The sequence below is a fragment of the Homo sapiens genome, chromosome 9, assembly GCF_000001405.40.
Source record: "Homo sapiens chromosome 9, GRCh38.p14 Primary Assembly".
Lineage (NCBI taxonomy): Eukaryota > Metazoa > Chordata > Mammalia > Primates > Hominidae > Homo > Homo sapiens.
In genome coordinates this window covers 76,090,016-76,115,929 of record NC_000009.12, presented here as the reverse complement: position 1 = coordinate 76,115,929, position 25,914 = coordinate 76,090,016, and the positions used below count along the sequence as shown (strand labels likewise).

The 25,914-nt window shown below is 39.8% G+C and overlaps 1 protein-coding gene across 8 annotated transcripts in view; it reads right to left on the bottom strand.

The window, feature by feature from the left end:
- The window catches only part of PCSK5 (proprotein convertase subtilisin/kexin type 5), a 473,167-nt gene that overhangs the window by 247,046 nt on the left and 200,207 nt on the right, over window positions 1–25,914 (bottom strand). For all 8 annotated transcript variants that reach the window (NR_120409.2, XM_047423454.1, NM_001372043.1 and 5 more), the window contains exons 8-9: window positions 19,828–20,040; window positions 8,579–8,679 (exon numbers count right to left, since the gene is read on the bottom strand). Coding sequence is in view for 7 of the 8 variants with exons in the window: in XM_047423454.1 (XP_047279410.1) it covers window positions 8,579–8,679; window positions 19,828–20,040 (314 nt within the window). In the remaining variant the exon portion in view is untranslated. The remainder of the gene's footprint in view (window positions 1–8,578; window positions 8,680–19,827; window positions 20,041–25,914) is intronic.

Sequence of the window (25,914 nt, the reverse complement as noted above, 5' to 3'; positions counted from 1 at the left end):
TGGAAGTAAAAAATTATAGGGCAAGACAATGTAGCCATAGGCTAGATCAATTCAAAACTCAGCCCAAGAAAACTTGGCACATAAACAGATTAAGTTTGAACTATGTTTAAATATAGAGTAGAGGAATATAATCTGAGAATTTTCAAATACAAAAACAGCAATATTTGATGAAGCCATCCAATGATATATTATGCAATGAGTCTTTTAATACGCTTTGACTAAAGTGATTAAGTAGCAGGCTATGATGTGAAACTAATGGACCCTAAAAAAGTCATCTTCTCTTTTTCTTAGCAAGAAAAATCATATTTGATGGTATTTGGGGTGTTACCATAGGCACTATCAGAACAAAAATTCCCTGGCATTGAGTAAAATCCACAAACCCTCAAGAGACTAAATTTAATACTAAATCTCACATATTTCTTGTAAACTCACTAATATACATCAGTGGAGTTTCTAAGCAATCTTATCGGGTAACTGCATAAAGGTTAATTTGCTAACACTCTGTTTAAATTAAAAGACACAGAAGCAGATGAGCAATTTATAATGTAAATAATATTCTCTGTTTTCTTTTACTTTTTTAAAATGGGAACTGTCTCAGTCACTTATAGCAATCATGATCTCCGGGTAGGCACTTTTTGCAGATTAATTAGCTGATGGGGAGGCTGGTGTACCCAAGGACAGTCAATAATTGCCAGAGAAATTTGCTACAGGTCTTGGTGCAAAATCTGTAGGCCCAGAGACTTTCTTGTACAACTGGATTTTTATGCAGCTTCTAATCTCCAGAATCCCATGGGGAGAATAAAGGGTATCTATTTCCATAGATGATATCACAATTTACCTGAGTTTAGCAAAGAAACTAGATCTTGATTTTTTTGCTTTTCCCAAAGGCACATATGTAATTCATTACCTGTTGGCTATACCTACAAAATATACATCAAATCTACCCACTTCTCTCTGTCCCCATTCCCATCACCTTGACCAGGCTACCCTAATCTCTCCTGCACTACTACACTGGCTTCCCAAATGGTTTACTTGCCTTGCTCCAGCACAAACTGGATATTTATAACATGAGACATTTCCAACATTTGACACTTGAAAATGATACTTGATCAGCTATACAAGGAAAAGGTCTGGTGATTGCAACAGGACTGACAACTATTCTTTGGAAAAAGCAATCTTTATTATTATAGTAATAAGAATAAAATGTTTTTAGTGACTAATAACATTTTTCAAAATACAGCTAAGGAAAAAGAGGCAGGTAACAGTCTCCTAAGAACTTTTCTGTCTTCAGTTCAGTTTCTGAGCAACTCAACTATCCAACATGTTTCTTAGTTTTCTCACATAGGGAAGGAGTTGGAACACACTGGCTACATTTCAAGATAATCCAAGGTGAATGAGCCTGTTGACCAGGGCTTTTCCAGTTATAATAGACATCTCTGGAAGCTGTAGTTTTTGAAACCATTAGTTAAGGTACAAAGTTGAGTCCAGGAAAAGTTGGCTTCTACATAATTTGAACTTGAGAAGGACTAGAGGACAGAGTGTATTGTCTGTGTATATGTAGACATAACAAAGCTATTTTCATGCACAGTCCTGGCAGAAGGCCCGTGGTAACTGCTCTTTGGGTCTGGTTACAATTATTTCACTATAGGGAATAGTTCAGGACAGTACATCCCTTCTCTGTCCGCTAGGCCTCAAGTCGAAATGTGCATTGTTTTTACCTTATAAACCTTTTCAGCTCTCCTCCCTTGTTTTCTTTTAATTCTCTTCACCCTCTTCAGGCTGTATACCCCAAGCATTCATACCAGAAATTTCAGCAAAATTTTAAGCCCAACATACAACACTCCAATACACAAAAAAACTCTAAGAGTATATGAAAGGAAGGGTGTGTGGAATACCTGCTTCTTTACCCTTGTAACTGTGTGGAATCAGGGCACATATGCTTGTATTTCTCTCTGTGCAAGTACTTTCTAAGTTCTAATTGAAATAAATAAAACTCTCTTAAAAGGAAAAGCTTGGTATGCCCTCTGCAATTTTACCTCAATAAGCAAATACACTTGTGCTCCCTGCCCACTGCAGCATCTCATAGAGTTGAATGTGGCCCTCGGGAAAATTTTTAATGAGACATTTTATACTAAAATGTGTTTTTAATTTAAAAAAATACACAGATGATAAGACTAGTTTACAGGATATCAGTACTAAGATGCTAACCCCAATATTAAGAAATGTTTATGTCTATCCTTCCTATGTGGCCTCCCTTAACAGTGCTCAGTTCTAAAAATATGAAGCACCCCTCGCCCCAGTGAGTACTTCAACTCAGAGCTGGCTTGTTTAAAACTCCAGAACCCTTCTCGACTGTCCCACATATTAACTTCTCACAGTCACTGTATCCCAAATATTCTGGTCATTTCCCTACAATTTTCCAACGCTGGAAACATGTAGGTAAGAGAGATTATAATGAAAGGTGAAACAAAGACATAGAGTGGTTGATTCATCTGAATTATGTAAGATTTATATAGACGGACTTTTTAGGTTTACAAGAAATGCAGATGGTCAGTTTAATTTCCTGAGAAAATTTTCAAGATGTGATTTGTGAAATCAACAGCATACGGTGTGAATCATCCTTTGGCTCAACACTCCTTTAACTTCTCACACTTTGACCTTTCCTTGTCTCGAATGATCCCTTCCTCCAAAGACAAAAGGTAGAGGGGATTCCCTTGGAAGGTGAGAGAGGGAATAACATTCATGTCTTTATTTTAGCCAGGTGAGGTCCACTTCTAGCAAATGATAAATCAACAGGATGAGAGACGAGTTGAGGCAGTATGGGAGAAAGAAGTCACTAATGAATATCAACTAAAGGATATGGACGGTAAAAGTAACTAATTGAGCAATTGAACTTCTCTAGGACTCAGTTCCATTGTACAAAAGGTAAGGTTGGACTAGACGAATTAATTTAATATTTGTTGAGAATGGACCTTGTTCAAAACATTATGCTTAGGTGTCGTGGAGGATACAAATTTCTATGGAACCAATGTTCCAATTTGAATCATCAAAGCTGGGCATTTTTATTTTCATCCAAGTCCTGCACCCCCTACAACCCTTCCCCCAGAACGATTTCATTGACTTCCTTAAATAATTTGCATATATCTGTTAGTGTACATTTGCTTCCCTAATGAGAATATAAAATCCCCTGAAAGCAAGTGATATATAATATTTTATACATATTTGAATTATGTCCTGAGTAACTTAGTGCCTAGTATGATGCTTTAATTTTTTTGTAGTGTTCAATATATTTGTTATATACTCATAAATAAAGATAAGATATAATCCTTACTCTCAAGGAATTTAAATTTAATTTGCAATAGGAGGGAAAAGATAAGTAATAAGGAGAAAGTAGGTGAGCCTACCTAGAAACATGTGAATGTGTATATGTCTGTGTATATATAAGATACCAGAGGCAGCTAATGTTCAATATGCACCAGGTGTATTTCTACTGTAGAAGAGCAGCTGTTAGTTTAATTTATTTTCTAAATTTAGATCTAGATATATTGGGTTTTCTCACAGCAGGGTATTCTTGTGGCCTCTGAGATATGAAATGTAAGAAAAAGGCTTTGCGGTCATTTAAAGCAAGAATTTGTACGAGATTCTTTATACCAATACCCTTTTAGGAAGTTTTAGATAATTTCAGAAGTTTCAACCTGACTCAGTCCCCTTTATTTACCATTCACTGTATAGTGTAACATTTCTTGATTACTGAACATATATTCTTCAATTTTCCAATGAAAGACCCTTTGCAATTAGAAGCAGAAAGGTTTCTTTGATGAACTTAATTTTTGTATTTTCTGAGTTGATGCTGATATTGTTACATATGAAATATTCCACTAAAATAAGCTTTTCATTGCTAATAATTGCAGATGGGTGAGGAAAACTTTCAGTACAACTTATTATTCTGAGCACTCTGTACTTTCATGAATGTTAGTTATTTTGACTTTATTTTATAAACAATTTTATAGAAAACATCATTTAACAGCAAGCTCTTTTATTTTTTTCCCCCTGATAGATCTATAGCACTGGGAACATATACTAGGACCTAGATGCAAAACACTTTTCAAACATAAGGTGTTCTGCCAGGTTGCTAAGCTAAAATTAGTACAGCCATCTTTCATTTTGGTTTTTCATTTAATAAACCTGCTTCCTTGCATACTCATTTTATTTGAACTTTTTGAGTTAGGCTATGTAAAAAGACATCATTTTAAGCAGCAATCGCCCAAATGATATCCTATAATCACTGGTTACATGTTCCCTATTCATTTAGCTGAAACACCAGAAAGTTACCAAAAAAAATCCAGAAAAAAAATCATACTATTAAACATTCTGAACCAATAAAAATGTTCTGAGGGTACCACATCACAAAAAATTGTTTCTCCCCTCTCTTTTAAGATTAAAGTATTTTTTCTTATTCTAAAATCGTCCATAATTTTTAGAAGCATCTTTGAGAACAAGGAGGAAATCTCTCACTTTAGCAGAAAGGCAAGACTCATGATGAGACTGTCAAAGGTGGCTGTAGAGCTTAACACAACCCAAACCAAAGAGGCTCCAACCCAGGAAAAAAAGGTAAAGGAGAAAGATTTTCAGAGGAACTGAGAATTCTTCTAGTCTTGGGAGCAGAACAATTTCATTCAAGTATCTGCGAGCATATTAGAGTGGAATTTGTTGCAACACATATTCTTATACATTCTGTAGAAAAAGGATGGCCTGGGAGTCGTACTAGCTGTTACAGCAAAGTTATTTCTCTTTTTTCTTTTCTTTACTTTTTTTTTTGTTTTGAGACAGAGACTTGCTCTGTCACCCAGTCTGGGGTATAGCAGCATGATCTCAGTTCAGTGCAACCTCTGCCTCCTGGGTTCGAACAATTCTCTTGCCTCAACTTCCTAAGTAGCTGGGACTATGGGCGCATGCTACCACGCCTGGCTAATTTTTATATGTTTAGTAGAGATGGGTTTTGCCAAGTCGGCAGGCTGGTCTCAAACTCCTGACCTCAGGTGATCCTCCTGCCTCAGTCTCCCAAAGTGCTGGGATTATAGGCGTGAGCCACTGTTCCTGGCCATAGCAAAGTTATTTCATGATCAAACTTGTTATGTTTGGAAAAGATATCTGGATACTTTTAAGTTTATCTGTTTCTATGTTTTGTATTTCATTCCACTTCTTTTTCTTTCTCCCCCACAACCTTTTTTTTTGAGATAAGGTCTCATTCTGTTGCCTGGGCTGTAGTGCAATGGTGTGATCATAGCTCACTGCAGCCTTGAACTCCTGGGCTCAAGGGATCCTCCTGCCTCAGCCCCCTGAGTAGCTAGGACTACCGGATGTATTTGTTTTCTTTTCCCTTAGTTTCCTGGGAAGGTTTTTGAATGGCAGAGAGGCCAATGGTAGAAGCAGCATCACAGAATGAACCACAGTCCTACCCATGCAGGCAGACATCTGGAATGTAAGGAAGAGAGGCTGGCGAAAAGCTCAGGACCTAGTTTTCTCTAATGTTCCTATGACTGAGTAAATACAGTAATCTGGTGATATTCAGAGAAACAATAAATTTCTCCTGACAGTACAGGGATAGCTAGGACATGCAGTTCAAATAGGGACTGGCAGACTCTTGCAGCTTTTCATTCAAAGGCTCAGCATATCCAGTTACTGAATGAACCCTGGCAGGCCATGCATACCCAGCGAGTAGGGCAGTGTCCTGAGTCATAACTCTGCCTAGAGCTGTGGCTTTCTCTCCTCTCTTCTTAAAAGAGCGTATCTTGTAGATCTTGCTCCTCAACTTGTGTTAGTAAAGGCTGAATCTCAAAATACCAAGGTTCAAGGGCTGTTGAGAAGCAATAGTGTAAGAGGAGATTGCAAGGGGTGGGGCTGGGTAAATGAGTGAGGCACATATACAAGGATTAGGTTTAGTTTTAGAGCAACTGCAGCCTTAATGCACTGTTACTGGAGCTCCTCTCTTCAATTTCTTAGTTTTAGATATGTTTCACATTAAGCTGGAGGCCCGATGCTTATTGATGCTAATTTAATATCAATATCTGACCCACCCTTTTAGTACTCACACGTCTTTCCCGTGATTTTCAGCTTCACTTTACAGGCAAAGATTGAGCTGTACAACAAACCAATGGAGTTACAAAAAAAGGTTTGTTTTTTCTGAGTTTATCAGATAGTTCATCATCCATTTTGGCCCCACAATTAGAGTGGACTGTTAACATCTTAAAACACAGTGCATTTTCCAGGTAGCCTGTATCTTAGGAACCTCCTTCTACTCATCACAGTTGTGTCAAAAATAGATCTTTAAAAATGCTCAAAACGCAAAAGAGAAAAAAAAAAAAAAAACAATTGTAGTCTTTCAATGTGTTATGCAGTCCAAAGTGACCTTATCTTAGGTTATTTGAGGCATAAAGCAAGATTTTTGCATTTCAGCTTAAATCGTGATTAAAAGAACTGTTTTTTTTTTAAAAAAATAATAGTGTTACAGTAATATCTCAAAGAGCTGAGTATCACCTAATTCTACGAAGCAATAGTTATAGTATCAGGTTGCTAAGTTTTAGTTTGAGATAGCCTTTGAGGGGGAGCATGGTAGAGGAATTCCTAATGTTTTTTCTTTTAATATTTTGTGGACAGAAACATATTCCAGAGAAACAACCTAGAATTTCAGAATAAAAACAATATATTTTTCAAAAATCCTGGGTAGAGTTCACCAAATTAAAAACACAGACACTTAATTGAGACTTCCGCTGCCAGAACACTTTAGTGAAAAGTTGTAAAGTGAGAATTTAATAGGATAAGTGCCAGTTCCTTGCTAAACCCAAACTTTTAACACCTTAAAAGATGTAATTTGTTGAAAATGACTTCATATTTAACCTCGTCAAAAAGAAAGAAATCCAAATATTCATGGGAGCTTGGATATCTCTCAATCTCCAGGCTTGGGCAAGAGGCCACCCAGAGACAGGGCACCATATCCAGAGCCCATGTCCTTCCCCCGGTTTCAGTCCAACACATGACTTAGCAATTTGCTGTATCCACGTTATATTCAGGTCCAGCTGCCTTAACATAGGCTCTCCGTCTTACAGAGGGGCAGCTGTGAATGCTGGGAAACTACCTGTGTCCTGAGAATGAACTAGCATGATTCTTTTCTTTTCTTGAGATGGAGTCTTGGCTCTGTCACCAGGCTGGAGTGCAGTGGGGCGATCTCGGCTCACTGCAACCTCCGCCTACTGGGTGCAAGCGATTTCCCTGCCTCAGCCTCCCCAGTAGCTGGGACTACAGGTGCCCACCACCACACCGAACTAATTTTTGTATTTTTAGAAGAGAAGGGGTTTCACCATGTTGGCCAGGATAGTCTCGATCTCTTGACCTCGTGATCCACCCGCCTTGGCCTCCCAAAGTGCTGGGATTACAGGCATAAGCCACCGCGCCCGGCCACACGGTTCTTATTGTAATCCCTGAGCCTCTTCATTATCCTTGTATTCCTTCTCTGTCACTGGCTATCGCTCTACTTCAGGGTGCAGCTAGATGAATGGGCCTTTCCCTTCCTCCCTAGGGCAGAGGTGCAGGGCTATTTTTAGAAAATCGCTTATATCATTAGTTCAGTTCCTTTTTCTTATGATCCTCCTGCAGGGAGAACCTCAGAGAACAGGCCTTCAATCCCTATTCTAAAATTGGACAAGACATGTTTGGAATTCAAAATTTTTTCAGAGATGATGCCTATAACATACATGATACAAAATCTCCAGCGGGGTCTGAGCCAGCACTTCACAATCAAATACATGAATATTTCACAATAAATGTTATAAATAATACTGTAAATAGCCTCAAATGAGTTTATGGCAAACTTTGCCAAAAAATGAATTCTAGTGTTAAATTTGCAAAAGAACGTTCAGTTTTCCTGGCATTTAGGATTTTAAAATTGAGGACAAGAGATATTAGATCTGTATTATTAGGTTTTCAAAACGTTAAGGCAAATTAACCTATTTGTTCTTAGAGAAAAAAGAGATGAGGACCTATTTATTTACAAATAGCCTAAAGGGGTCTTTCACAGTAATCTTTTTGACATAGAATTTGACTATACTGAACAGGATTTGATATAAATGGGTTGTCCTCGTCCCTGGCATATTCTATTCTGCAGAGCCAGTCTGTGACTGTGCTATTGTCGTGGAATCGGAGCTGCCTAGTCATGCTTCAGAGAAACAGACCAGAAATGGGCAGACCTAACCTCTCTGGGACGCTCAGGAACATTCCCAGACTAGAATAAAAACCTCAACAAGGCAAGAGAGTTGGAGCCAACTGGCATGCATGTGCTATGACTCCATAATAAAGTAATTACACAGTTTGATTTTTTAAGCATGTAAAACCAAAAACCTAATCTTCTTCTTAATATAGGGGAATTTTTTTTAAAAAGCCCAAACCTTTGAAGTTTTAAAGGTGGGATTGGGAAGATTATATTCTAGGTTGTCATGCTAGGGGTCCTATACAAGGGAAGGGGTACGTTTTCCCTGAGATCAGGGGTTGTCACCATTGAAGACATATAGAGATCAAGGCTTACTTGGCTTCCAGGGCCAGCGCAATGATGCCTGCAGCCATGGGGGCTGAGGCTGACGTCCCAGTGTGGTTGTCCGTGCAACGCTGCCTCAGATCTGTAGTGATCTGGAAAACAAAGTGAAAAGTTTAGATTTCTGAGGCCAATGTGAGTCACCTGCAAGTAGAAAGAAATATACTCATAAAAATAGAATGGGGGTATATGTTAAATACTTGTTTTAAATTCCTTGTTCCTACACGCCTGTAAATCATATCACTTCCAGAGAATTGACTGTGTAGATCAACTCTGAAAAGGGAAGTGTTTGGAAACTGAACTCCATTTCTGTTCAAACCAGGGTCAAAACCAGGGTGAGCTTATGGATGAAAACATAAAGATCATGCAAATACCTCCTTAAATTCTGCTCTGTAAGCATCTTGCTTGCTTCTCCCTAGTGCCAGTTCTGGTTAAAACTGAAGTTCTTTCCTTGCCTCAACATTTTAAAATAATCAAGCACATTGTATCAAATCCAGACACTGAGCAGGCATTGGCAACATACAGAATAAAAGTACATGGTCCCTGCAGCCTAGAACTGTTACCTTGGGGAACCACAGATTTCAAGCCAAAAGTATGCTCTGCTGTAGAAAGAACCTTTGGTTGTGGACCTGTTTCTAGAATCAATAGAAATGTTGCACGGATGAACCAAGACTTCCTCAAAGATATAACATGGATACTAAAAATAAGGCTGAAGCCAGTGTACTTGATATGCAATTACAGCACTAAGTGTAAGCTTGTATATTAGAGAAAATTAGTTATTTCTCCATTTTATTTTTTAATCAAAATGTGAGAACTAAGTCATTTTTATCCTCTTGGCTTAAATCCAGTTCACTTCAGCTGTGACGGAATAATATTACCATCCAGCAAAGGCAATGTTTCTCAACCTTTGTTTCATTATTTTCTCACTATGGAAAAAATACATTAAATTTAACTTCTCCTTTAATACTATGGAATAAGATTCTGGAAACCACTCTAATAGCTCTAAGATTTTTTAAATCCTCCCTCTTGGACAAGAATCCATTTTTTGCCCTCTTTGGGACAGTATCACCTCTGGGGGAGTATAGAAGTCTGTGAGAGGAGTTAGTGGTCTCATTGAAGTTATTGGAAGGCTATTAGTAAATCTGTCTTTCGCATCAAGGCAAGTATATTACCATATATTACAGATAGGAAAACGGTCATGAAAGGTCCCAGAAAGGTGAAGGGGGATCCAGGCAGCTGAAAACAAAGGCCTCTCCTTCAAAGTGCTTCCTTCAAGAGGAGTGTGAAAATTAGTTAAATTTGGTTTGGAAAGAAACTTGATCTTCACAGGAACAAAGTGCTGTATAGCTCCTTAGAGACAGACTCTCACTTAGAAGTTTATTCTATGTCACATGAATATGTCTAAGTAGACTCTTTTATGACCTCTCATGGATCTAGATAGGCATTCTGGCTGATTTAGTTTCACATGAGACCATAAGTTCTTACTATCCTTTCTTTGTTCCTTTTGACAACTCTAACATTACCAGATTATCTGTACTAGATAGGTGTGGGTACTGATATAAAAGGAGTGAAAGAATGAACAAAGATCTATAGAACTACATAGATATGGTGGTGGGGGAAGGAGTCAAACCTTTCACTACGTTTTCCTGAATGAATGAATGGTGTGCAAGAACCCTGAAGCCATCTACTGAACCTCGACATGTGATGCTTGCAGGATGTTTGGGTAAATAGGGCCCTATCCACTTTTATGTTAAGAAACTGTCTGGGCTTTTCATTGCTGAGTTTAAACAGGTATTTTTTTATTGTGTTAAAAAACATATAACATACAATTACCCTCTGAACAATTTTTATGCGTACAGTACAATGTTGCTAACCATATATGTACAAGCTTGTACAATATCACTAGGCTTTTTCATCTTGCAGAACTCAAACTCTGTAACCACTGAACAGTTCCTCACTCTCCCTCCCCTTGCCCCCTGGCAACCACCGTTCTTCTTTCTACTGCTATGTGTTTGATTCCTCTACATACCTCATGTAAGTGGAATCACACAGTATCTGTCTTCTCAAAACAGGATTATCTCATGTAGCATAATGTCCTCAAGGTTTATCCATATTGTACCATATGACAGGATTTCTTTACTTTATAAGGCTGAGTATATTCCATTATGCCACATTTTCTTCATCCATTCATCTGTTGATGGACACATGGGTTGCTTCTACCTCTCAGCTATTGTGAAGAAGGCTGAACATGCACATGGGGGTGCCGCAATCTCTCTGAGACCCTGTTTTCAGTTCTTTCAAATCGGTAATTCCAGAAGAGGAATTGCTGGATTGTTAAAAGGAACTGCTGCCTCATTTGAAATTATGGGTGAATTTGCAGCCTGATTTTCCAAAGCCCTGGTCCCTAAGTCAATGCATGAACACACCAGAAGTAGCTTGTTTCCAGGTGTCCAGATCTGCTGTTGTTGAGACGGCCTTGCCTGCATTCTTCCTATTTTATCTCACCCATGGTCACATTCCTTTGTCCAAGTTTTATTTTTTTTCAATGACTTGTGCCTGGATTCAAGATTTTTCATGATATTTTCCCACTTGGCTCTCCTTGCTTATTCTTCAGCCGCACCAGACATTTTCAATGCACAGAAACAAATCCAGAATAAACACTCCAAGTGTGTGTAGCACTTGAGTCTAATAAATAACCATCTTCAGCCAACCTCAAATGTGAACGATCAAAATTTTATGATCTTGCATTTGCAATAGTAATATGCTTCGTCTGCATAGTGACAAGGTATCTAGGCATACAACTTATGCTTTAATATAAAGCTACTTAGTACATTTATATATAAACACCAATGAAGTGTTAAATGCTATTAATGTCGGCACATCTGTGTAATTCCAAATCCCCACTGTGTTATAATTTTTTTCAACCACTTTAAATGAAACTTGACTGGTGAGTAGGACTGGATGGAGTGGAGGAGAAAGGTGATGGAAAGGGGTAAAGTTAAAAGGAACGGGGAGAAAAGAAACAAAAACATCCCCACTCCCTTCTCATCCTGCTTGAAATGGAAATTCCAGCTGGGTCATTTCAAGAGGAAGTTACTATCAGAGGTGGCAATATTTAGGTGTAAATTACTGGAAAGATCTAAGGCAGGGTTTTCGTCATTAAGAGAAGCCACAGCATCGGAGTTTTTGTGTCTATCTTTAGAAATAAAAGGCAAAGGCCACCAAAGAGCAGGCAATCTTGAAGAAAAATGACGTTATGAAAACTGGAACCACATGGAATATCCCCATTAATCACAACACATGTATATAGGATCTGACAGTGTAATTTAAAGGCAAGTTGCATTCAACAGTCGGCCCACTACATAGGGTGGGGAACACAGAGATTCTACATGCAAGCACTTTCACTTTAGATTCCACTTTAAATAATGTCTCAGAATTTGGTTTAAATCCTGATGGCACATCTTGCATGCTCCAAATCCCCCCAATTCACTACACAAATCAGAAACAGAATTTTTCTCCAAAGAACTTCTCAGATTGCTCAAGAAAATATCATTTGTGCCCATCAGAGTGATGGAAACTGGAAAGGACACCAGGCCCTGAGCCAGATCAAAGCTGTCCTGATCAGCAAATTAGATTTTCAGCGTCTCTCAGGATCAGTAGCAGATGGTTTTTTGGACTCCACTATGTTAGGGATGTCATCATCCTTTGATGACAAGCGGTGGGTACTGTTCAGGTTTAGACAGCCTCCACTAAGATGAACCATCACTTTTTCTCACCCTAAGCAATTATGTCCTAGTATTTCACATTTCATTACTTGTTCTGATTGGACCTTTGATTTTAGCCTGTTGATGTAATTCTCCAGGGAATCTCAGTTCAGATTGACTTTGGCCATAAGTGACAAGCTTTTATAGCAACCCCACAGTCAAGAGTTTCTCTCTCCTTGATATCTAGTGATCCGTTTTACTTTGAAGGTGCCATATTGTCTCGTATCTGTTAAAAGAGCAACTGAACAGATATTTTTGAAACATGAAATGATTTTACTGTCTGTTAGGTTGAATTTGTTTCTGGTGTTGATTTTGATTTGAACTAGAATTGTGCCAAGAAAGCTGTTTCAGACACAGCTATGGGGGAGAAGGGCAGAAACTAAATTTTAAATGTGTCAATGACTAAAATAGAAGAAGCTGATTTATTAAGCACAGTAAAATAAAAAAGAACCGAAGACTAAAGAAAGCTTTTTGTGTCCACAGAAGTCACAAAGACTAGTGTAAAATTCAGTCATGACTGACAAGTCCACACAAAATCCCACTCTCGTGTTGCTAAAAGAATCTGTAAATGTGAAGTACAAATAGAAGATTTTGCTTACAAATGGAGGGTTACTATCACTAAAGAAGAATCTCATGTTACATCACTTTTGTATCTCCATAATGTTCAGCTCAGTTCCATGTACCAAGAGGCACAATATTTATTTGCTAAGTTGAATCCCTAAAATCAAGCTCCTTTATATTCATTTCATTCTATACTTCAACTCTTCCGTTCATTAGGAAACACTCAAAGTCACTTCTTTTTCCACCATCCAAACAAAACTCACAGAAATTTGTAGTCAACCTACAAAAATTATGTGTGCATATGTGTATATACAATCCAGGGTTTAAAGTACAGCTAATACTCTCACAAGTACTACAGGTTGCGTATCCCTTACCCAAAATAGTTGGGACCAGAGGTGTTTTAGATTTCAAATTTTTGCAGATTATGGAATAGCTGCATTACCCCAGTTCAACATCTCTAATCTGAAAACTTGAAATGCTCCAAAATCTCAAACTTTTGGGACGCCAAAATGACACTCAAAGGAAATGTTCATTGGAATGCTACAGATTTTGAATTTTTGTATTAGAGATGCTTTATCTACCACCAGCTCCACTGCTTCCTCTAAAACTACCACAATGAGCAGCTTGCAATGAATGAGACAGTATGCAAGAGGTATTTATGTGTGTCCATATAAAATGATATATAAACCCACAGGAACACTGCAAGGAAGATATTTTATTAGCTAAGGAAATAGAGGCTCAGAGGGGTTAAGTAACTTGCCCAAGGACAAACAGCTACAAAAGGGCTCGTCAGTGCTAAAGATATCAAACTGTAAAATAGCAGCAAAAGAAAAAAAAGCTGAGTTACAAAGTGTAGTCATTCATGAGAGCAAAGGTAACAACAACTAGCCTCGTGACCCAGCCCAAGTCAGCAAGTCCGTATAGAGGTTCCTTCAGGCCATTAAAATGAGACCTTTTCAGAAGCAACGTTTCCTTTTAGCTTTTTAACTTTCTCAAGAGAATATGTATCAAACTTCCAAATAAACAAAAACACATCTGGATTCACTAGACTTTTACTCATGAAAAATAATGGAATTTTCTAAGTCAAAAGAAGAAATGGAGAGATGACAGAGAATAACCTAGTGCAAATGGTGAATGCATTTGAAAAATGAATCGGGTGGTAGAAGAGGAGCAGAATATTTCTGCAAAAGAAAATGTAGAGCTGCTTAGAAGCATTAAAAGCAATAAGATAATTCCTCCACATGGAATTTGTTTTTCAGGCCAACTCTGAGATACCCCAGGCAGCAACTTTGTTTTGAACACAAATAAATAAAATGACATCAGGAGAGGGCTAAGCAGAACATATATTCTCCCAACTCTGGCTCAGAGAACCCCTCCCAGGAGGAATCTGAGAAACCCTATGTCCCAATCACTAAGATAAATTACTAGGGGGAAAAAAGTCAAAGTCTGAACAAAGTCCCAAAAGAAAGAGATAATTTAATGATGGGAGGGACTGGAAAGAAAGGGGAGCCTTATTTATAAAACAGAACTTGAGAGAAATGTCAGGAGGAGGTGAGGGGTTATAGATAGGATCTTTTAGGCTTTTTGACACTAAAAACAGGTTACATGAACAGCTTTATCATGTTGCAGGATTCCTGCTGGCAATTTTCTATGCTAAATATCCTGTCAAATAACGTTTCACTTTCACCAACCTACCGACAGAAGAAGTTTCTCTGAAAGAAACAGAGCAGCTCCCTGTCTTCCTGCAGCTATATAAACAACTTGTAAAGCCTCCATCCTTCCAAATGTTTGCTAGTCATTTATGCACGAATATTTATTAAGCTCAGGCTCTGGAAAGGAACAAAACACGGTCTTCATCCTCAAGTAGTTTCCATTGTAGTGCGAAAAACAGACAGTAAATAAGAAAATATGTACTACCAGGTGAAGTAGCTATAAGTGCACTAGAAAAAAAAATTGAACCGGGTAAAGGAGTAGAGAGTGGTGGAGGGGTGTGCCTCTATTTTAGAAAAGGTGATGAAGAAAATCCTCTTTGAGGTGAAATTTGAGAGGAGACAAAAATGAAGTGATATTTGGTAGAGGAGTGTTCTAACAGACGGGACTTTGCACATCAGGAAGCCCTGGTTTGAACATCATACAGAAAATACAAAAGCCATGACCTTGGGAGCTCAGTGCTAACTCTGCTGCCATAGGAACTAGCAACTCAGCTTGAGTTTTTTGCAAGAGGTTCAACTGTGTGAGGGGGTATGAAAAAGGGTAAAGGAATGAAATTCAAAATGAGGAGACTAAATAGTGAAAAACAATGGAAATGTATATATTCTAAATGCTTCTTTATGACTGAAAAGAACTCAAAACAGGTAAGAAAAGCACTATTCTTTCACATAGCCCCATACTGGATATCCCTAAGATGCATCAGGATGGGATGCACACTGGCTACAAGATGAGTTTGGGGGTCTATCTTGACTTTGATTGGAATCCAAGCTCTACCATTTACTAGCTATGGTTTTTGTTTGCTTAACTTCTCAAGCTTTAGTTTTCTCATCTGTAAAAAGTGGGGACACCATGATCTTTCTGCATAGGGTTTCCCAAGAATACAATGAGATGTTGCATTTGATGTGCATAGCACAGTGTCAGGCACAAATGAGAAGGACAAAAAATGTGATATTTTCAACATGTTAATATATAAATGTATTACATGTGAGACATGAAATGTGAACAATTATGTTAATGAATTCTTTCGTTATACAACTTTAAAATAACTAGTAATTTTAAATGATTTCTATTTAGCTTATGAAAGAGCTTCTTTCATAGTAATCTTTATACTTTGAACGCTTCCTTTGCTGTAATAAGATATAAGGTCATTGCTGATCCAAATCTACTAAAGCATGAATGCAATACCGAGGTCCACAACTGTGCTAGAAGTAATGGCAGGAAACCAAGGGACAGGGACTTCCTTATGTTTTGAAACCCAGGGCAAGGCTTTCCTGTTTGCGTATCATGAAAAGTCATTTTGTCCAGAACAAGTAAAATTTATTTAACAAAAATGCTTTCCCAGAAGCAGAGAGATTTTTTTCCCTCTCTCCTCAGATCCTCAGCAACTGTCTTGGTTCAAATCACAAAGGTGCTCTATGAATGAAGAATGACAACCGTGCTCTTCTGGGTAGGCTGCAGATGACAAAAGGAAATGAATGTCTCAGGGAAGGGGGCTTAGTACAAAGACAGGCACTGCCATTCCTGTAGCACTCAATCACATATGCCACTAACAGGATGCGGGCATCACCGAGGGACCAAAGGCGTCTGGGTTCAAAGCCTGGTGAAGGAAAGGTCCCAGGCGCAACACAGGATTATTTGTCATTCTGATATCTAGAAGGAAAAGGGGTCAGCCGGACCATAAAAGGCTGATGTTACTGCCAACTCCACTCATGTTCAAACTGTTAACATGTTCCCGATCAGAGTGTCTTTCTTTATGGGATGAGTGGAACAGATCGCAGTGTTTTATAGATTGGAAAAACTGAGGTGCGATAGGCACCTAACAGCAGCTGGAAAAACACCCTAACCTCCCAGGTTGCAGAAAGCTACAGGAGCTTAGGCGACAATGCGACCGGACATGCACTGAGCTGCTCCTGTGTACCAGGCATCAGGCACCTTAACTCAGTCTTTTATTATCTTCATGGAAATCTCTGAGGTAGGTGCTGGTATTATCTCCATTTTACAGATGAGGCAATCAAGACTCCATGAGGGTTGCTTATCCACTGAGTGGTCTCTCTGAAGCTAGAGACTAATATAAACAGCTTCCAAATTTCCTCTCCAATTGGGGGTAATTTGGGAATTCAGGCAAAATAAGGGAATCTAAGAACTAGCTAGAGAAAATTTACTAATATAATCTCACAAAAACAGAAGAAATGCATTAAACAAAAAGGAAGAAACGAATTAAGTTAAATACATAGAGTGAGTCACAGAAGGCTTTGAAATCACAAGCAAAAATTGGGGAAAAGTATATGACCTCGCGAAAGGGTATTAACATTTAGTCATGGTGTCCACTTTCCCTTGTAAGCTCTCTTCCTGCCCACAGAATGGATCAATTTGTCTATCCATGGGAGAATCCTAAATGACACCCCTGCCATGGGAGTCACAGCGGCAACCACACAATCACAGCAAACAATGACGAAGGCCCCAGGAAGGTTAAGTTTAGAGAGTAAAACTCACAGTAGTGATTTTGCAGTCCCTCTGTACATACTGTGTTCTCCCATCTGGACGAGACCACCTTTCCTTCTTCTTTGATATTTTTACCATGAGACTATATGCTTCCCTTACAGAAGGCATTTATAAAAGTTAACAATACCCTCCCCATAGCAATCACCCCATAGAGAATAATAGGACTGACTAAATGGGCATAATTACTTTGAAGCAATAGTGAGTTTGACTTAAGATGATTTCAAACTCCAGAGGTAAAAAACGAGAACTCTTATTCGAGTTTTCATCAGGAATTTCACGATGCAGGACTGATGGATGTCACTCCGTGCTAGTGGACGTTGACCATGAGTTAGAAGACACAAGGTCTTCTTATTTAAAAGCAAAGGGATATTTCTAGATTATAACATTTCTCTAATGGAGGCAAAATTTCAGTGGGGCATCACTTCCCAGTTAAGGAAGCCAGAAACCTCAAATGCAAAGCTCATCTCTGCATTTTTGCCTTTTATATTTTACTTGCTGTTTCAGAGTTATGCTTATTGATGAATGTTGGAGGTACTGACAGGTGGAATTGGGTGTATATATTTAAACCCAGACATTGTGGAGCAATTAGGGAAAGATGGGGACATGTATATGGGTAGGCAATTTTTACCTAAATCAATCTACAAAATGTAACTAAAGAAGGTAGTAAAAAGTAGCCGATAAATGAAACAGAAAAATCATATAATAACCAGGAATCAAGAGGAATAGAATGGATGTGGATTAAGACTTGCACAAAGGAGGTACAGTTCTATCCCCTATGGACTGCGGGAAAGGCAGATGGAGCACCACTAGAGTGACCCCAACCTGCGTAGATCTGTTAGAGCCAGAAGCAGGGTCTTGGCTAAATGCTAAAAAGTGTCAGGTACAGCAGCTTAGCTCTACCTTGAAAAGACAAATCCAGAGACAGTTTACAAAATCATGATCAGGAAAAAGGGCAAAGTGCAAAGGTGTCTGAAATTTATAATCAGCAGCACAGTGTTGGGCATCCCCGAAAAGTTAGAGCTTTCCTAAGCACTGAAGGGCCGGGTACTGTGCTAGGCACTTTTTACTGCCTTCCTCATTATTTTGTAATGACTCCATGAACTATGTGCTACTAAGTGTCCTCTTTGTATAAATAAGCATGTTGAGACAGACAGATTAATTTGTCCAAAATTACTCAACTACAAATATCTCAAGAGTGAAAGAAACTCACGCAGCAGGCTGAGCCTGCCACCTGAACTCTTAATTACACTGGCTGTTTGCCTAGAGTGCAGGATATGTTGCTAAACGGGAGATCCCATACAGCTTCTGTGCTTCTTCATCCAGCAGACTTTGTGCTGTCTATAAGAAATGCACCCCCGTCTCTACTAAAAATACAAAAAAAATTAGCCGGGCGCGGTGGCGGGCGCCTGTAGTCCCAGCTACTCGGGAGGCTGAGGCAGGAGAATGGCGTGAACCCGGGAAGCGGAGCTTGCAGTGAGCCGAGATTGCGCCACTGCAGTCCGCAGTCCCGCCTGGGCGACAGAGCGAGACTCCGTCTCAAAAAAAAAAAAAAAAAAAAAAAAGAAATGCACTTTTTGGCTGGGCGCGGTGCCTTACACCTGTAATCCCAGCACTTTGGGAGGCCGAGGCAGGCAGATCACTTGAGTTCAGGAGTTTGAGACCAGCCTGGCCAACACTGTGAAACCCTGCCTCTGCTAAAAATACAAAAAATTAGCCGGGCATGGTGGCACATGCTTGTAGTCCCAGCTACTCGGGAGGCTTAGGCAGGAGAATCACTTGAACCCGGGGGGCAGAGGTTGCAGTGAGCCGAGATCGCACCACTGTACTCCAGCCTGGGCGAAAGAGCGAGACTCTGTCTCAAAAAAAAAAATAAAAAATAAAAATAAAAATAAAGAAATGCACCTTTTGGTGGGGCGCAGTGGCTCACGCCTGTAAATCCCAGAACTTTGGGAAGCTGAGGCGGGAGGATCACTTGAGGTCAGGAGTTTGAGACCAGCCTGGCCAACGTGGTGAAACCCTGTCTCTACTAAAATACAAAAATTAGCTGGGCACAGTGGTGCGCACCTGTAATTCCAGCTACTTGGGAGGCTGAGACAGGAGAATAGCTTGAATCTGCAAGGTGGAGGTTGCAGTGAGCTGAGATCACACCACTGCCCTCCAGCCTGGGCAACAGTTAGACTTCATCTCAAAGGAAAAAAAAAAAAAAAGAAACGCACCTTTTACAGAGGTTTAGTTCATGTTAAATAAGTATAATTTCAATGAAATTCTGAGTTTCCTTATACACTTTTGTTTTTCACACTGAATTGGCCATACTCAGAAACCAAGCACTAAAGCTAAAGTTAAAAGTCGGTGCGGAAACACAGTGATAGGAGTACAGGACTGAGTCAGGCGTAGATTCCAGTCTCTTCTCTGCCACTAACTCACAATGTGAACGTGAACCAATCATTTATCCTCAATAAAATTGAAGCTTAATAACATCTAAGTCCACATTAAATGTTGCAATGTGATGACTGCACAAGCATTTTCAATTGGTAATGTTTACAACTTCTTCTATTATCAGCGAATCTAATTTCCTATTTCCATATATTACTTCTGTGTGTGTGTGTGTGTGTGTGTGTATATATATATATGTTTATGGTTCTCCCTTTGTATTTCAAAGTGAACATTAAATAAACAGATCATGATGGGCATGCACATGTCACGTACGATTTTCTTATCGTAGGACTCCCCGCTGCTGTAGGTTGTGGCCAGCGTGGATGAACACTCTTCCAGGTACCAAGGTTTCTTTCCGCTTTCTGCAGTGCTGCTGATGGAGATGGTGTAGATGCTGTTGGTGTAGCCATCACAGGAGCAGTGGTCTTTGCTCCTTCCACCATTTCCAGATGCCCAAACAAACACAGAGCCGAGGCCTCTCCGCCCCTGTTCACAAACAGAGAAAGCTAAATGATGGTGTGAAATGACTCTAAATGAAGAGGTCAGAATCCACTGAGCCAAACTGAGTAGGTGCAGGTGGGGTGTGTTGCTATCTTAATATGCTGGGCTTAAGCAGCTTCTGGGAGTGGAGTAAGAGGCGTTGGTTTTATAGACTAAAACGGTCAGAAAAGTTACAAGAGTACACATAATGACAATAATAATGGCTAATTATTTATGGACAAAGCACAATTCAAAGTGTTTTACATGAACTGCATTGAATTCTTTCAAGGATCCTGTGAGGCTGGCACAATTCCTGTCCCCGTTATGCTGTGGAGAAACTTGAGGTACAGAAGTTAAGTAATTCAATTAAATTTTTTTTTAAAAGGAAGTTAAGTAATATTCCTAAGGTCATAAACAGTAAGTGGTAGGGCCAAAATTTGAACCCAGAGAGTGAGATATGAGAGTTGGGATATTATTAGTTGTAATTACCGTAGTTATGCACTATTGTTTAAAATCTTCAAATCTGCCATGAATTGGGTGCTATTATGCACCCTCATTTATATCTGAGGAACATGAGGTATAGAGAGGTTATGCCTCTATGCTGAATTACACTGTTGGTGAGCATCAGAAGCAAGTACTAACTGTGTACTTCTTTCTATAGAACTGATCTTCCCATGAGTGGTGTAGACACTAATTACTGAGGGATGTTAATGGATGCTACCATAAATAAAAGGGTTTCAAGATCACATATGTTTGGGAATCCCCGAATTAAACAAAATTAAGTGAGCCTCTTCATTGCAAAACTTCTAAGAACCTTTAATAAATGAATGCTTATTGTAAAATTCTAAGAACAGGATACAGTCTAATATAATTTTTCCAAACATATTTGACCATAGATCCATTAACATTATCTTAGAATGCTACAAGACAGTGTCACATTCTTCATGCCAAAGCTTGGTAGCTAAAAATAACTAAAAGAATTTCTTGGTTAGGCATAGTGGCTCATGCTTGTAATCCTAGCATTTTGGGAGGCTGAGGTGAGCAGATCACCTGAGGTCAGGAGTTCAAGACCAGCCTGTCCAACATGGGGAAACTCTATCTCTACTGAAAATACAAAAATTAGCGAGGCGTGGTGGTGCACACCTGTAATCCCAGCTACTCGGGAGGCTGAGGCACGAGAATCGCTTGAACCTGAGAGGTGGAGGTTGCAGTTTGCAATGAGCCGAGGTCATGCCACTGCACTCCAGCTGGGCGACAGAGTGAGACTCCATCTTGAAAAAAAAAATGACTTTCTTAAAGTCCTCAATAATCAAGGAATAGAAGCAAAGTAGAATATAGACATACACAGTGAAGTGACTATAAGATGATGTCTTCAGGAGAAAACAGAGAATTAAGCCAAAATGGAAAGTATTTCTGGGAATAGCTGCAGCTGAATCCCTAAGAAATTGTGCCATTTTAAAGCTAGAAGGCAAATTGGAAGACACTGAGGCCAAATCCATCATTTTCTATTAGGAAGTGAGAACCCAAGTCACAAAGCTAGTGATGGCAGAGACTTTCTTCCTTCCAGGCCCTAATTTTCTGGTCCCCAGGTGGAAGCAAAAGCATTTGGGGGATGCTGTCTTAGAATTTCTGGAAAAAGAGCCGAAGAAAAAGAGACAACAAAGTCTGGAGTATCTGTGATAAACTCTTCCTGACCTTGAATCCTCAAGGAACAGTATATTTATGACATGATTTGATAGACCTGTTCATACCTTTCTTTTTGTCCTTGAACTTGGAAAAAATGCTTTATAATTACCCAGGAATTGGAAATATTCATGAATAGAGAGGGGGATAAACTTTCAGTTGCTATTGCTGCTCGACAGCTGGGCTCGGTTTACCATCCCTCAATGTTTCATCAAAATATTCATGAAATAGAGAGAAAGGTACAGAAATCACCAAGCCATCACAAACTAAGAATCTTGTTCAATGCTATGACAATCTCTAGGAGGGATTATGCATCACTATGGTGAGGGTGGTCAGACTGAGAAACTACAGTGATGGACTCCTGTCTAGACCTCAGAGACAACAACATACCAGAGGGAAAGAAAGAATGTTCCAACTCATCATCAATATGTTCCCTCTCTATCAGACACTGAGGGGCTGTGTTACAGGCAAAAATCAGGGTCTCACTGGGCCTCAGTGATAGGTCAATAGAATATATGGGATTGTGCAAAACCCACCTGATTTAAACAGCACCATCACAGATGATAGACAAAGACTCACAATGCAATTAAAAAGCATATATGGTACAAGCACGTGTGTGTGTGTGTGTGTATATATATATATATATAAAATTATGACAGTGTGCCCATGAATAAAATTCAATTAAACTATCTTTAAAAAGTAACTTGATTTTAAAGAATATTTAATAAAATATTTAGGAAGCATTTTTGTGATAATGTAGTTACAAACATAGGATACAAAATGGTATAGCACAGTCTCAGTTTAGGAAACAATGTGTAGACTGGGTGTAGTGGCCAACACCTGTAATCCTAGTCCTTCGGGAGGCCAAGGCAGGAGGATCATCTGAGTCCAGGAGTTAGAGACCAGCCTGGGCAATAGGGTGAGACCACATATTTACAAAAAATTAAAAAGAAATAGCCGGGTGGTGGTGCATGCTTCTAGTCTCAGCTATTTTAGGGGCTGAGGTGGAAGGATTGCTTGGAGCCAGGAGTTTGAGGCTGCAGCGCGCTACGACTGCTTCACTGCCCTCCAGGCTGAGTGACACAGCAAGCAAGACCCTGTATCTGGAAAAAAAAAAAAAAAAAAAAAAAAAGGGAAAGACAAAAAAGGGCGTGTGTAAAGAAGTCTATATGCATACATTTCCATGCATACCATAAAGTGAAAATGTAATTGAAGTTATCTTGTATGGTAAGATCAGAAAAGCTTTTTATTTTCTTTTTTATGTCAGTCTTCTATGACCATGTCTTACTTTTATAAAAAGAAACAAGAACATTAATTCCTCTACTAAGAGGGAAAACAAAGAGTCAATTGTTAAGAGATAATTTTTTAATGTTATGGCCAAAAGGGGTTTTACCCATAGACGGTCCACTGTGTACTAAAAACAACAGAGGCTAACATTTCTAAAAAACCTTCTATGCGCCAAGCACTGTACAAACATTACTCTGCACAATCCAAGTTTATATTATCATCATTTTACAGATGAGCAAACTGGTTCTCTCAGAAGTGCTCACTAACGGGCTGGGTGCAGTGCTTATGCCTGTAATCCCAGCACTTAGAGATAAGCCTGGGCAACATAGCGAGACCTTGTCTCTAAGAAAAAAATAAGAAATTAGCCAGGCATGGTGGCATGTGCCTATATTCCTGGCTTCTGGGGAGGCTGGGGTGAGAGGATCACTTGAGCCCAGGAGGTCAAGGCTGCAGGCAGCTATGCTCACACCACTGCACTCCAGCCTGGGCAACAGGGCTCAGAGAATGACCGTCTCTAAACAAACAAACAAACAAAAAAAGAAAGCGCCAGACCTTGAAAACTGACTGGAGCCACAGCCTGAGCTATTAATCCTTACAATAGTCTTCTTTTGGGCAAAAAGAGGGCTAGTGGTTATTGTACCCTTTCTGGCCAAATCCCCCATGTCTCCATTGCAGCTTGGCCTTAGGATATAAGAGCAGAAAAGTCCTAAAGTCCTTTCCAGACTTGGCAGTAGAATTAGAACTGATAAAGAATAGATGTATCTTTTGCCCTTAAGAGGTAGGACGTAGTTTCCAACCCCCAAGTCCCCTGAAATCCCATCCTGAGGGGGGACTCCCTCAGAAGTATGAACACAGGTCATTCTATTCCAGTAGCACTCATGGAAGATACCACTAAGAAGGAGCAATGGCATTGCTGAGGGGTCCTTTGGGGATCCACGGGGTTGAGAGTCCTGAGTTGAGAGGACAGTAGGTTGCTGCTGCCCTGAAAATGTCCCTTCCAGACAGAGGTGACGTCCTTGTGTCGAACAGATAATTTGAGGGAATTATTTTATAACCGAGCATGGTAAAGGAAAACCTCAAAGGACAGCATGGGGTCAATAAACACTCCCAGGCCTGAAGGGGCACAGAGAGAGGGGAGTCACTGGAGCTGGTGACAGAGGGGCTAATCGGAGTTGGTCAGGGGATATGCTAGCCTGTGCTGGACCTGCAGGCAGGGGGCTGGTGAATGCATACCTGAGCCCCCAATCTCCTCGTCTTACATTCCAGTTTCTGGCCAGCATACCCCACTGGCCAAACCTCATTAAAACCCAGAGAGATCAGTGTCTGCATGCACAGAGCTCATGGAGAGAAGAGAAGAAGAGATCTTAAGGGTTAACTAGAAGACACCAGAACAGTCCCGAAGGTGTGCTGTGGACTGAACTGTGTTCCCCTATGCTAAAGCCCTAAAGACCAATGTGACTATATTTGGAAAAAGGGTTTTCAGTGAGGCAATTAAGCTTAAATGAGGTCATAAGTGTGGGGCCGCACAGGACTGGTGTCCTTATAAACAGAGGAAGAGATAACAGAGCTCAGATCTCTCTAGCTCGCTCGCTTTCTCTCTCTCTCTCTCTCTCAGATTGTAGGCACAGAAGCAAGGCTATGTAAAGACCCAGCCAGAAGGTGCCCATCTGCAAGCAGAGGAGGGCCAGGACCCAGCTCTACAAGCATCGTGGTCTTGGACTTCCAGCCTCCAGAACTATAAGAAAATAAATTTCCCTTGTTTAAGCCAGGAGTCCTCAACCGAAATTGATCCGTGGCTTGTTAGGAATCCGGCCACACAGCAGGAGGTGGGTGGTGGGCAGGCAAGTGAAGCTTCATCTGTATTTACAGCCATTCTCCATTACTCTCTTACCGCCTGAGCTCTACCTCCTGTCAGATCAGCAGTGGCAATGGATTCTCACAGGCGCTCGAACCTCTTATGACCTACGCATGCGAGGGATCTAGGTTTCCTGCTTCTCACGAGAATCTAATGACTGATGATCTGTCATTGTCTCCTATCACCCCCAGATGGGACCATTTAGCTGCAGGAAAACAAGCTCAGGGTTCCCATGATTCTACATTATGGTGAGTTGTATAATTTCATTTTATATTACAATGTAATAAGAGAAATAATGTGCGTAATGAATGTAATGTGCTTGAATCATCCCTCAACCCCCCATTCTGTGAAAAAACTGACTTCCATGAAACCGTTCCCTGGCACCAAAAAAGTTGAGAACCGCTGGTTTAAGCCACCCAGTCTGTGCTGTTTTGTTACAGTAGCCCAGGCTAATACGAGGAGAGAGGAAGAGAAGAACAATGGCCTGCCCGTCATTGGATTCTGTGTGCTCTGCCACAGAATGCATAGAGACTGCCATCATTCGACCCAGGAGGTAATCTGACCTTTATTCCTGCGAGTATGGTTTATGATTGAAGTCCCAGAAATAAACAGACTGAATTTGCAGGCTGGAAATGCCATCAAGACAGCTGCTAAAGATCTATGGGGTTAATCCTAAACAATTAGCAATTCAAAGATACATTTCCTACAGAGGCACAGGGGGTTTCCATTCATAGGAAATATCCAGAAACCAAAACATATGTGGGAAAAAAATTAAAAATCTCCACATTTCTCAAAAAAAAAAGTAATTTAAGAATTAAATCTTAATGTGGGGTGCAGGGAGAAGGGAGGGTGCATGGAGTACTATGAAGAGAAAAGAATCTTGAGGCATATATTTTCCTAAAGTGTGGGAAATAATGACATTTTCTAGCTTGGTGAAGTAGTGTGATTGCAATTGGCTATTTAAATATGGCTTTGCATGGCAAAAAAAGAAAAATCTCTTCAATTTAATTGAGTGCTCCATTAAAAGTTAGTTAACTTAAGGCAAAATATATTGT